Below are 14,752 nucleotides of genomic sequence, written 5' to 3' on the forward strand. Positions count from 1 at the left end.
TTTTGGTTACTATAGCTTTGTAGCATATTTTGAAGTCAGGTAGTGTGATGCCTCCAGGTTTGTTCTCTTTGCTCAGGATTGCTTGACTAGTCTGGCTCTTTTGCGGTTCCATATGAATTTTAGGATTGTTTTTCTATTTCTTGAAGAATGTCATTGGTATTATGATAGGGATTGCGTTGAATTTGTGGATCACTTTGGGTAGTATGATGTGACTTTTTAATGTACCATTTCTTTATAAATGTGTGTATATATTTCCTTTGAATAAATGAAAATGTGTGTGTGTGTGTGTGTGTGTGTGTGTGTGTGTGTGTAATTTTGGAGCTATGATATAGCCACTTACCACAAAAAGTCTCAAAGCTACTTATGGCAAAAAAAAAAAAAAGGTATGTTTCACCCTTCAAATTACCACCAGATTGAGAGGCAGAGCAAGATGGCAGAATAGAACCCTCCAGTGATCATCCCCCGACAGGAACATCAAATCAAACAAGCATCTACACAAGAAAGTACCTTCATAAAAGAATTAAAAATCAGGAGAGCAATCACAGTACCTTTTTTAAACATCATACCAAGGAAAGAGGTACTGAAGAGGGTAGGAAAGACAGTCTTTAATTGCCTATACTACCCCTCCCCGCATGCCCCAGTAGCGGCCACGTGACACAGATAGAGAATCTGTGTACTTGGTGGAGGGAGAGCAAAGTGATTGTTAGGACTTTGCATTGGAATTCAGTGCTGCCCTGTCATAGCATAAAGCAGTACAGGGCAGAATTCGGCCAGTGCCCATGGCGGGAGCATTTAGACCAGCCCTAGCCAGAAGGGCATTGTCCATCTCAGCAGTTGGAACCTGAGTTCTGGCTAGCCCCAGTATCATGGGCTATAGTGTACTAGGGTCCTGATAAACTTGAAAGGCAGTCTAGGCCACACAGACTACAGTTCCTGGGCAAGTCCTGGTGCCATGCTGTGCTCAGAACCAGTGGACTTGGGTGCATGCGACCCAGTGAGACACCAGCTACGGTAGACAAGGGAGTGCTTGCATTACCCCTTTCCCAACTCCAGGCAGTGCAGCTTGGAGTTCTGGGAGGAAAGGGAAGAGTACAGAGGACTTTGTCTTGCAATTTGGATACCAGCTCAGCCACAGTAAAATAAAGCTCCAAGCAGAGTCCTGAAGCCCCAATTCCAGACCATAGTTTGTGGATGACATTTCTAGACCCACCCTGGGCCAGAAGGGAACCCATTGCCCTGAAGGCAAGGACCCAGTTTTGGCAGAATTCACCACCTGCTGACCAAAGAGCCCTTGGGTCTTGAATAATTATCAATGGTAGCCAGGCAGCAGTCACCATGGGCTTTGGGCAAGACCCAGTACATGCTGGCTTCAGGTGTGATCCAGCACATTCATAGCTGTGGTGGCCACAAGGAGAGACTCTTTCTGCTTGAGGAAAGGAGAGGGATAGTAAAAACGGCTTTATCTTGCAACTTGGGTACCAGCTCAGTCACAGTATAATAAAGCACAAATCAAACTCCTATAGTTCCTGATTCTGGGCCTTAGCTCCTGAAGGGCATTTCTAGATCTGTCCTGGGCCAGTAAGAAATCCGCTTCCCTGGCGGAGCTTGCAGTGAGCCGAGATAGTGCCACTGCACTCCAGCCTGGGCGACAGAGCGAGACTCCATCTCAAAAGAAAAAAAAAAAAAATTCCGCTTCCCTGAAAGGGGAGGCCCGGTCCTGGCAGGATCTATCACTTGCTGACTAAAGAGCCCTTGAGCCTTGAATAAACATCAGCAGTAGCCAGAAAATAGTTGCCACAGTACCAAAACCCAGTACTGTGCTGGCTTCAGGTGTGACCCAGCATAGCCCCAGTGGTGGTGTACAAGGGGGTGCTTGCATCACCTCTCCTCCCACTCCAGTTGGCGCAACATGGGGAGAGAGATTTTGTTTGCTTGGCAGAAAGTAAGGGAGGAGAACAAGAGACTCTGCCTAGTAATCCAGGGAATTCTCCCACATCTTACCCAAGACCACCAAGGCAGTACCTCTGCGAGTCTGCAACGGTCACAGTGTTACTGGGCTTGGGGTGCCCCCTAATATACATAAGGCTGCAATGACCAAAGTCATAGATCACAACACTCAATTCCCTTTGAATACTTGGAAAGCCTTCTCAAGGACAGGTACAAACAAACCCAGATTGCTAAGATTAGAATAAATACCTAACTTGTCAGCGCCCAGACATTGACAAACATCCAGAAGCATCAAGACCATCCAGGAAAACATGACCTCACCAAACAAACTAAATAAGGCACCAGGGACCAATTCTGGAGTGACAGAGATATGTGGCCTGGCCTTTCAGACAGAGAATTCAAAATAGCTGTTTTGAGGAAGCTCAATGAAATCCAAGATAATGCAGAGAAGGAAATGAGAATCCCATCAGATAAATTTAACAAAGAGATTGAAATAATTAAAAACAAGAAATTCTGGATCTGAAAAATCTGACAAATCAAAGAATGTATCAAAGTCTCTCAATAAATACTTGACCAAGCAGAAGAAACAGTTGGTGAGCTTGAAGACAGGCTCTTTGAAAATACATAGTCAGAGGAGTCAAAAGAAGAAAGAATAAAAAATAATGAGGCACATTTACAGGATCTAAAAAATAGCCTCAAAAGGACAAATCTAAGAGTTATTGACCTTGAGAAGGTAGAGAAGAGATAGGGGTAGAAAGTTTATTCAAAGAGATATTAACAAAGAATTTCCCAAACCTAGAGAAAAATATCAAAATTCAAGTATAAGAAGGTTATAAAACGTCAAGCAGATTTAACCCAAATACTACCTCAAGAAATTTAATAATCAAACTCCTAAAGGTCAAGGATAAAGAAAGGATCCTAAAAGCAGCAAGAGAAAAGAAAGAAATAACATATAAAGGAGCTCCAATACATCTGGCAGCAGATTTCTCTGTGGAAACTTTATAGGCCAGGAGAGAATGGCACGACATACTTAAAGTGCTGAAGGAAAAAAAAATTTTTTATCCTAGAATGGTATATATCTGATGAAAATATCCTTCAAACATGAAGGAAAAATAAAGACTTTCCCAGACAAACAAAAGCTGAGGGATTTCATCACCAGACCTGTTCTGCAAGAAAAGTTAAAGGGAGTTCTTCAATCTGAAAGAAAAGGATACTAACAAGCAATAACAAATCATCTGAAGGCACAAAACTCATTAATAGTAAGTACACAAATACAAAATGTTATAACACTGTAATTGTTGTGTGTAAACTATTCATATCTCGAGTAGGAAGACTAAAAGAATAACCTATCAAAAATAGTAACTATAACAACTTTTAAAGACATAGTATAATAAGATTTAAATAGAAACAACAAAAAGTTAAGAAGCGGCAGTGGCTGGCTGGGGGATGAAAAAGTGTAGAGTTTTTATCAGTTTTTTCTTTGCTTGTTTTTGCAATCAGAGTTAAGTTTTCATCAGTTTAAAATAATGGGTTATAAGATGTTACTTGCAAGCCTCTTGGTAACCTCGAATTTAAAAACCTACAATAGATACACAAAAATATAAAGTAAGAAATTGAAACATACCACCAAAGAAAATCACTTTCACAAAAAGGAAGACAGGAAGGAAGGAAGAAAGAGAAGACCACAAAACAACCAGAAAGCAAATCACAAAATGGCAATAACAAACCCATACTTATCAATAATAACACTGAATTAAATGGACTAAACAATTCTCCAATCAAAAGACAGAGTAGCTGAATGGATTTAAAAAAACAAGACCCAATGATCTGTTGCCTACAAGAAATGCACTTCACCTATAAAGACAAACATAGACTGAAAATGAAGGGATGAAAAAAGTTATTCCATGCAAATGAAAACCAAAAAAGAGCAGGAGTGGCCATACTTGTATCAGATAAAATAGATTTTAAGACAAAAACTATAAAAAGACACAGAGAAGATCATTATATGATAAAAGTATCAATTCAGCAAGAGGATTTAATAGTTATTAATATATATGCACCCAACACTGGAGTATCCAGACATATAAAACAAATATTAGAGCTAAAGAGCGAAATAGACCCCAATACAATAATAGCTGGAGACTTCAACATCCCACTTTCAGCATTGGATATATCTTCCGGACAGAAAACCAGCAAAGAAACATCAGACTTAATCTGCACTGTAGGCCAAATTGACCAAATACTTACAGTACATTTTGTTCAAAGGCGACAGAATACATATTCTTTTCCTTAGCACATGGATCAGTCTCAAGGATAAGACCATATGTTAGGCCACAAAAGAAATCTTAAAAATATCAAAAAATTGAAATCATATCAGTAGCTTCTCTAATCATAATGGAATAAAACTAGAAATTGGCTGGGTGTGGTGGCTCATGCTGTAATCCCAGCACTTTGGGAGGCCGAGGCAGGCAGATCATGAGGTCAGGAGTTTGAGACCAGCCTGGCCAACATGGTGAAACCCTGTCTCTACTAAAAAAATATAAAAATATCCAGGTGTGGTGGTGCATGCCTGTAATCCTAGCTACTCAGGAGGCTGAGGCAGGAGAATTGCTTGAACCCGGGAGGCAGAGGCTACAGTGAGCTGAGATTGCGCCACTGCACTCCAGCCTGGGTGACAGAGTGAGACTCTGTCTCAAAAAAAAAAAAAAACAAAACAAAACAACAAAAAACCCTAAAAATCAATAACAAGAGGAACTTTATTATTTTATTTTTTTATTTTTTATTATTTTTTTTATGGAGTCTCCCTCTGTCGCCCAGCCTGGACTTTAGTGGCATGATCTCTGCTCACTGTAACCTCTGCCTCCCGGGTTCAAGTGATTCTCCTGCCTCAGCCTCCCAAGTAGCTGGGATTACAGGCATACACCACCATGGTCAGCTAATTTTTGTATTTTTGTAGAGACTGGGTTTCACCATGTTGGCCGGGCTGGACTTGAACTCCTGACCTCAAGTGATCCACCCACTTCGGCCTCCCAAAGTGCTGGGATTACAGATGTGAGCCACCACACCCAGACTGGAACTTTGGAAACCATATAAACACATGGAAATTAAACAATACGCTCCTTAATGACCAGTGGGTCAACAGAGGAATTAAGAAGGAAATTAAAAAATTTCTTGAAACAATAAAAGTGGAAACACAAAAGCAGTAGTAAGAGAGAAGCTTATAGCAATAACTATCTACATGAAAACAGTAGAAAGACATCAAATAAAGAACCCAAGCATGCATCTTAAAAAACTAGAAAAGCAAGAGCAAACCACAGCCAAAATTAGTAGATGAAAAGAAATAATAAAGATCAGAGCAGAAATAAATGAAATTGAAATGAAAAAATATAAAAGATCAATAAAATGAAAAGGTACTTTTTTTAAGAAAAGATAAACAAAATAGACAAATTGTTAGTCAATAGTTACACTTTAGCCAGGCTAGGAAAACATGAGAGAAGACCCAAAGAAAATCAAAGATAAAAAAGGAGACATTACAACTGATATCACAAAAATTCAAAGGACCACTAGAGGCTACTATTAGCAACTACATGCCAATCAATTGGAAAACCCAGAAGAAATAAATTCATAGACACATCAAACCTACCAAAATTGAACCATGAAGAAATACAAAACCTGAATAGATCAATAACAAGTAAGGAGATGAAACCCTTAATAAAAGGTCTCCCAGCAAAGAAAAGCCAGGGACCCAGTGGCTTCACTGCTGAATTTTACCAAACATTTAAAGAAGGATGAATATCAGTCCTACTCAAACTCTTTCAAAAAGTAGAGGAAGAGGGAATACTTCCAAACTCATTCTACAAGGCAATTATTATGCTGATACCAAAACCAGACAAAGACACATCAACAAAGGAAAACTAGAGGTCAGTATTGCTGGTGAACATTGATGTGAAATCCTTAACAAAATACTAACAAACTGAATTCAACAACACATTAAAAAGGTCTTTCATTATGACCAAGTGGGATTCATCCCATAGATGCAAGGATAGTTCAACATATGCAAATCAATGTGATACATCATGTCAGCAGAATGAAGGACAAAAACCATATGACCATTTTAATTGGTCATATGCTTTATCAAATGCTGAAAAAGCATTTGATAAAATTCAACATCATTCTATGATTAAAAAACCTCAAAAAAACTGGGTATAGAAGGAATATACCTCAACACAATAAAAGCCATATACAGCAGACCCAGAGGTAGTATCATACCGAACGGGAAAAATGAAAGCCTTTCCTCTGAGATCTGGAACAAGACAAATATGCCCACTTTTAACACTGTTATTTAACATAGTACTGGAATTCCTAGCTAGAGCAATCAGACAATAGAAATGAAGGCATCCACCTCGGAAAGGAAGAAGTTAAATTATGCTTGTTTGCAGATGATATGATCTTACATTTGGAAAAATCTTAAGACTCCACCAAAAAACTAATACAACTGATAAACAAATACAGTAAAGTTGCAGAATACGAAATCAACATACAAAAATCAGTAGCATTTCTGTATGCTAAAAGCAAAGAATCTGAAAGAAATCAAGAAAGTAATCCCATTTTCAATAGCTACAAATAAAATTAAAAACCTAGGAATAAACTTAACCAAAGAAGTGAAAGATCTCTATGAAGATAACTATAAAACATTGATGAAAGAAACTGAGGTTGGCTGAAAACGCAGTGGCTCACACCTGTAATCCCAGCACTTTGGGAGGCTGAGGCAGATGGATCACAAGGTCAGAAGATCGAAACCATCCTGGCTAACACAGTGAAACCCCGTCTCTACTAAAAATACAAAAAAATTAGCCACGCGTGGTGGCAGGTGCCTGTTGTCCCAGCTACTCAGGAGGCTGAGGCAGGAGAATGGCATGAACCCAGGAGGCGGAGCTTGCAGTGAGCTGAGATTGTGCCACTGCACTCCAGCCTGGGCGACAGAGTGAGACAACCTCTCAAAAAAAAAAAAAAAAAGAAAAGAAATTGAAGAGGACACAAAGCAACATGTTAATGGATTGGAAAAATTAATATTGTTAAAATGTTCATACTACTCAAGCATCTACAGATTCAATGCAATCCTTATCAAAATACCAATGACATTCTGTAAGAAATAGAAAAAATAACCTTACAACTTATATGGAACCACAAAAGACCCTGAATAGCCAAAGCCATCCTAAGCAAAAAGAACAAAACTGGAGGAATCACATTACCTAACTTCAAATTATACTACAGAGCTATAGTAAGCAAAATAGCATGGTACTGGCATAAAAACAAGACACATAGACCAATGGAACAGAATAGATAACCCAGAAATAAATCCATACATCTACTGTGAACTTATTTTAAACAAAGGTGCCAAGAATATACGTTGGGGAAAGGACAGTCTCTTCAATAAATGGTGCTGGGAAAACTGGATATCCATGTGCAGAAGAATGAAACTAGACCCTATCTCTCGCCATATACAAGAATCAAATCAAAGTGGATTAAAGACTTAAATCTGAGACCTCAAACTATGAAACTATTAATACTACAGGAAAACATTGGGGAAACTCTCCAGGATATTGGACTGGGCAAAGATTTCTTGGGTCATTCCCCACCAGCACAGACAACCAAAGCAAAAATGGACAAATGTGATCACATCAAGTTAAAAAGCTTCTGCACAGCAAAGAAAACAACAAAGTGAAGAGACAACTCACAGAATGGGAGAAAATATTTGCAAACTATCCATCTGATAAGGGACTAATAGCCAGAATATATAAGGAGCTCAAACAACTCAATTAGGAAAGAATCTAGTAATCCAACTGAAAAATGGGCAAAAGATCTGGATAGACATTTCTCAAAAGAAGATATACAAATGGCAAATAGATATATGAAAAGGTGCTCAACATCACTGATCATCAGGGAAATGCAAATCAAAACTATAATGAGATATCATCCCACCCCAGTTAAAATGGCTTATATCAAAAAGGCAGGCAATAACGAATGCCGGTGAGGATATGGAGAAAGGGAACCCTAGTACACTGTTGGTGGGAATGTAAATTAGTAAGCCACTATGGAGAACAGTATAGAAGTTCCTAAAAAAACTATATAGAAATACCATGTGATCCTGCAATCCCACTGCTAGGTATATACCCAAAAGAAAGGAAATCAGTATATCAAGGAGATATCTGCACTCCCATATTTATTACAGCACTATCCACAGTAGCCAAGATTTGGAAGCAACCCACGTATCCATCAAAGACAACTGGATAAAGAAAATGTGGTACATATACATAATAGAGTACTATTCAGCTATAAAAAAGGAGATCCTGTCATTTGCAAAAACGGATGGAACTGGAGAATATTATTTTCAGTGAAATAAGCCAGGCACAGAAAGACAAACTTCATATGTCCTCGCTCCTTTGTGGGAGCTAAAAACTAAACTAATTGAAATGGAGATAGCAGAATGATGGTTACCAGAGGGCTGGTAAAGGTAGTTGTGGGGAGTGAGAAATGGGGATGGTTAATGGGTACAAAAATATAGTTAAATAAAAGGCGTAAGATCTAGTATTTTATAGCACAACAGGGTGAGTACAGTCAGCAGTAATTTGTTGTACATTTCAGAATAACTGAAAGAGTACAATTGGAATATTCATAACAAGACATGATGACTGTTTGAGGTGATGGACACCCCATTTACCTGATGTGATTATTACACATTGTATGCCTGTATCAAAATCTCTCATGTAACCTGATAATTATGTACACCTACTGTGTACCCATAAAAATTAAAAAATACCACCAAATTAAGTTTACCAAGTCAGTAGTTCTCAAATTTGTTCAAATTGTAGAGTTCCTGGAGCTGATAATTCATTTTGATGAGTATTATAAATGTTGCTATCTTAAGTTTAATACATGTAATTTTTTGCTTAATTAGATGTTATACAAAATTCTAATTTAGAACAAATGATTGCAGGAGCCAACTACTTTGAAAAATTATGAGGGGAAAATTTACAATAGAAAATTTTAATAATTTTTCTGCAAATTAGAAAATGCCATTCATTTTACTCTGAATTCAAAACTCTTCCGTTTTTTGTCTGTAAGATGAAATCCAAATTTTGGGGACTGGTGTTCGAGGCATACATGTCTTTTTATCCTTCTATTTCTACTAATTCCCTCCATGACCTCTCTGTCAGAAAAATTGTGAGTTATATACTGGTTTTAAAATACTTGTTCTATATGCTCTAGTCTTCTATTTGTTAAAAGATAGTTTTCAGAAATGGGTAAAATTATTGTCATGCAGATAAGCAGATATAAAAGTCAACATGTGTTAAGAGTAATCTATTCATTAATCAATGAGGGGACCAGGTAGATGTTATAACCAGTTCAAAAGAGAACCCTAAGAACAGACACATTTATAGATCAGGAATATTCAAATGAATGTGTAAATGGAGGCAATGCTGATTTTTCCACATGGGGAAAGGGAAGTCAGTTGAACGTCTACAGACAGGATATACTGTGCATGTCTACAGACAGAAATTATTTGGTCTTGCTATCACTCACTTATAACTTACAGAGTTGTAAGATACCCCAAGGACAGTGAAAGGCTAGAATCAGACGACTGGAAAGGTATGTTGTATGTGGATAATGCCTCGTTTTCCACTAAAGCATAATTTTTTCCTATACACCTGGTCTTGTTTTTTCCTGTCTTTCTGGATATTTAATTCCCACCTGTTCTTCAGTGACCTTTAATATCTGCAGAAATGAGTTTTATCTCTGTCTTTTTCATGTAGTCCTTGCTGTCTAATTTACTTGCCATTTACTTGTATGGTACAGTATTATTAACTATCTTTTTAGCATTTTTAAAATCTACCTAAATATATCATAAGATAATTTTATAGTCAGAAATTATATCAAATGTTAGACACTCAGTGATTATCTGTTGTTTGGAAAGAATATCTTCTCCCTCCTTTTTACTGTGACCTAAGTACCTTAAACCTCTACCACTCCCTCCAACAACGTCAACAATGTCATGTCCAGCACCATCATGTCTTGTTTAGCCTGGAATTAGTGAATTCTTAATATTGGGTTCCCCAAAAGAAAATCAGTATATTCAACTAAAAACAAAGCAAAAACCTTGGATAATAACCTGCTATGTATGCATAGCTTGAGTTCAACATATGTCTTAAAGAGGTTTTGATAGTTCAAATAGATGTGATTTTTACCTAATAAAGCTATTTTCAATTTCTATCCATTTTCAACAGGTATTTACTCATGTTATCAGTTGTGCAAAGTGGGGAGGGATATTTGACTTGGGAATGAGGGATGTTTTCTCCTTCCAAAATACATGTTCTACAGAAAACCAAACACTGCATGTTATCATTTATAAGTGGGAGCTAAAAATTGGGTACACATGGACATAAAGATGGGACCAGTAGACACTGGAGACTGCAACAGTGGAAAGAGTGGGAGGGGGGCATAGGCTGAAAAATGAACTAGTGGGTACTGTGGTCACTACCTGGGTGATGGGTTCAATCCTGCCTCGAATCTCAGCATTGTGCAATATACCCTTGTAACAAACCTGCACATGTGCCCCCTTGAATCTAAAATAAAAGTTAAAAAAAAACACCCCCTACATTAACAAAATCACGAAGCCATAATTCCCAGAAAAACAATTATATTCAGCTCATTAATTATGTGTTTATTTTCTTTATTGGTATTTACAAGTATATTCCATGTCCAAAAATTATTGTTTTTTAAGTGTTTTGTTAGTTTTAGCTAAATATTTTAGTTATCAGTAAATAATGTTTATTTTTTACAAGCACTAACTACAAAACTCCACTTCTTTAGATGAGAGATGCTGACAAACATTATATAAAACCAATTACAAAATGTGAAAGTAGCACACAGACGAATACACACATACTGCCACCAACGATTGTGAGATCATATGAGTGGAATGAATGGGAATTAAGAAGAAAAGCTATAAAATTGGTTTGTAACAATACTTTCTAGAATTATTTATATGTTGGGGAATTTTAATCTATTGTTACTCATAGAGTTGGTAAATTAAATTATTTATATAAAATAATGAGTTTTATACAGAGTTCTTTGCTAACAAAAATATAATTTATAACTTGCTAGGTTTACATTATAAGATTGTCTTCTAATTTTAAGCATATATAGAACAATGATAATATCTATATATCTATCTGTCTATCATCAGTTTTAAAACTTGGTGCTAGTATTTAAAGCACTCCCAACTTCCTTTAATCACTTAAGGTATACCATTCTTTTTTTTGTTTGTTTTTTGGACCTTTTCTATTAAAGCATAGATATTTTCCCCTCAACAACATATTATCTCCAGACCCTGGGCACTCTCATCCTTCTGATTCTCAGTCACCTTAATTACAATATAGATACCTACCCTTAAAGCCTGTCTTTGAAACTCTCATCCCTGTCCAACTGAGTGAAATTACCCCCACCATCCCCTCTTTATGGTATCTTGTCATTTTAAACAACAAATATTTATAGTATGGAAAAAATAAAATATTTTGTCTGTAGCCCCTTTTTAGTATATTTTATCCATCTCTTTAACTGAAATCAGGTGTGGAAATAAACAATGCCTACCCAAATGAGAACAAAGCAAGGCTATTTATTTAGAGCTTACTGTAGCAAGGGAGTCAGACACTGTCACTTGTGTTTGGTAGACTCAAAGCATGCAGGGGAGTGGGAAAGCTTTATAGTCAGAAAAGGGGGAAGCCTTCAGATGTTCTCTGATTGTAGTTTGTTAACATGAGAAAGCTGGAAGCAGGCTAACTAGAAGCAGGGCATTTTATGAGATTGGTTTGGTGAGCATATCTAGGTTTCTCTGGTTGGTCCTGAGTTGGGGCAGAAGGGGCCAAAAAATGGAGAAGTTGGCTAAGTCTTCAACATTCTGGGTCAACTGCTACAGCTATAGAGGTTGAGACTGGCTTCCCTGACTGGTTGATGTACAGGCTGCAAGTCAAAGAGTTCTATTGTCATATATGGTCTAGCCTTTGTCCATTTGTATATTCAGTCCATTTGTATATTCAGTCCCACTGACCACATTATTTCCTTTGCTACTCACTCTGGTGGCAGCTTTTCAGTTCCCTGGCATGAGGAAGGATCAGTTTCCCCATATATCTTCCAGATCATTGTTCCATTAGTATTCCTTCCTATCAGTTACTCTCCTGTAGTTCATGAAATGCCCAACCCCCATATTATTTTCTATTATCTACTAAACTCACTTGAGTTCATTAGATTTATTGGGTAACATATATATCCCACTACTTTGTTCTAGCAAGTGATACTGTTACATTAAAAATATTTCAGTACCTCCTTGTAAGTGGTACCTCCTTGTAAGTGGTGTAACAGAAGTGAAATGAAAATTCTACTAAATTAACATAGGTGATATTTTATGTTGCTTTTGAGATACAAATAGGCAAAGAGGAGGAGGGAAGTGATGGCTGGATAGGATAGGAGAGATAGAGGTGACAGCATAGGTATGGACTGGAAATGTTAAGAGAATGGGGTATTCAGGGGTCTGAACTTCATACTGACTGAGCCCTCTCTTCCCATTCCTCAATCTCCACTTAATTCTGACTCTCACCTTGGGCCTTATTATTCCCTAGAACTGTATTATATTGAATGCCAGCTCCCCAAGTGTCACCTACCTAACCTGTGGATAAGACAAAGCTGAGTTTATTGCTTACAGCCATAAGGGAAAACACCACCTCAACAGTGCTTTGGCAGTGTCTCAGAAGAGGAACTGCAAAGTCAGAATTGATTGAGAATTTGAAGTTTGCTAAGGCAGGTCTTCCAATGACTGAGGTGGACTGGGGGTAGGATGGAGGTTTGAATCGGATTGGGTAAGGATCATGAAAAAGCAGTCCAGCATTGGTGGGAATAGCAAGAAGATTTTTTGAGGCAAGGGATGCAGACTCTTAGGACTGAAACTGTGTTTTGATGCTTACTACTGAAGAGTTGACACATCTCTCAGGTACTACTGAAATGAGCAATCAAGTTATTTGCTTAGGCAAGAGTCTCTTGGAATGGTAAAATCATGCTAATGAAGACAATGGAATAGTAAAGTCATATTAATGTGGACAATAACCTGGGTATTGGGGAGTAGTTTCGGTTCTCAGTCACCTGCAGTATCTCAAACTCTGAAATGTTTCCTCTAATTCCAGGTGTCACCTTCTTCACTCACATGCTATAATGCCTTTTGAGTTTTTTCTTGGCTTTTACTATAAGTGCAGCAACCTTATTCTTCTTTTTATAAGCTCCTCCTTGCTTCCCAGCCTGAGTAATCTGTTTAACCTCATGTTTACTAATAATCTATAAAGGGAGTAAGCAAAATGTAGAATACTGTAAAATACAAAATGGAAAGCATCAGACTCTTTTATGTTAAAAATCTAGGGTGAAGTCCATTTTTAAAAGATAATACTGTATAAATCTTATATTTTTGTTAAAAGAAAACAAGTATAGTGGAAAAATCCAAGTTATATGAATCTCAAAGTATAATAATGAAGGAATTAGATTATATTAATAAATAACTGGTTGAGTTCACTGTAATTTTGAATCTGTATGTTTTTTGAGGTCAATTTTCAACATTTTACATATTTTTCTACGTCTTGGTAAGGGATATTTAATTTTCTATTATGTTCTAGATTTTCCAATGTTTTATAGAAAAAATGCTATGTTATGGAATTAATTTCTTGTGGATTGAAGACAAAAATAGGCAGATATTAACTGGTATCTGATAATATTTTATGTTATTTGTTCTTTAGAGAAATGTTAATTCCTGTATTCTCTTTCTCTTTAGGCTAATTTGCGCCAGAAAGTTACTCACTCAGTACAAACTGATCTTAGTCACTTGAGAAGAGAAAATTGTTCCCAAGTGTACCCTCCAAAGGACACTAGCACCCAGTCCATGAGGGAAGACAGCACTGGGGTGCCCAGGCCTCAGATTTACTTGGCTGGTCTTCGTGGAGGAAAGAGCGAAATCACCGATGAGGTCAAGGTGAACTTAACTAGAGATGTGGATGAAACCTAATTACAGACAACGTTTTAAAATAGATGCTACTCAATTATGAACAATAGCAAGTACTTAAAGGTATATTAACATCTATACAAATTAATTTTGTAGGGGTGGCACATTCATTGGTTGTGTGACTGTTTATTGGGTTCCCATATTTTATCAAACTGTTTTCTGTAACACATTTTTCATTCTGTTGAAATTGAAAAATAAAACTGTCCATTTATCTTTTATTTGTTAGAAAAATTTGTCAGCATTAAGATTGAAATTATGATAACATTTAGATATAAATATAAGATTATTACTGGAATAGAAGTCTATTTCTAAACCATATTTAATGTTAAACGTTACAAACTTAAAACCTAATCAATATTTTCAGCTCTGTTAGCTATTAAATGTTAACATGGATTAAACTGATATGTAACAAAACCTTACTAATTTGGAACAATTGGAGCAAAGGTCCACATGATGTTTTTTTCTTTCTTTTTTTTTTTTTTTTTTTTTTGAGACAGGGTTTTGCTCTGTCACCTAGGCTGGAATGTAGTGGTACAATCACAGCTCACTGCAGCCTCGACCTCCTGGGCTAAAGCAATCCTACCTTAGCCTCCTGAGTAGCTGGGACCACAGGCGTGTGTTACCACACCTGACTAATTTTTAAAACAATTTTCTGTAGAGACAGAGTTTCACCATATTCCCCTGGCGGGTCTGGAACTCCTGGGCTCA

General features: G+C 37.1%; 1 protein-coding gene across 1 annotated transcript in view; it reads left to right on the top strand.

Annotated features, from left to right (window-relative positions):
• CFAP206 (cilia and flagella associated protein 206) overlaps positions 1–14,262 on the top strand; it is a 56,494-nt gene extending 42,232 nt beyond the window's left edge. The window contains exons 12-13 of the mRNA NM_001031743.3: positions 10,819–10,962; positions 13,817–14,262. Coding sequence (NP_001026913.1) covers positions 10,819–10,962; positions 13,817–14,047 — 375 coding nt within the window. The 3' untranslated portion in view covers positions 14,048–14,262. The remainder of the gene's footprint in view (positions 1–10,818; positions 10,963–13,816) is intronic.
• Positions 14,263–14,752: the final 490 nt, after the last annotated feature.

This window comes from Homo sapiens, chromosome 6 (genome assembly GCF_000001405.40).
Source record: "Homo sapiens chromosome 6, GRCh38.p14 Primary Assembly".
NCBI classification, from domain to species: domain Eukaryota; kingdom Metazoa; phylum Chordata; class Mammalia; order Primates; family Hominidae; genus Homo; species Homo sapiens.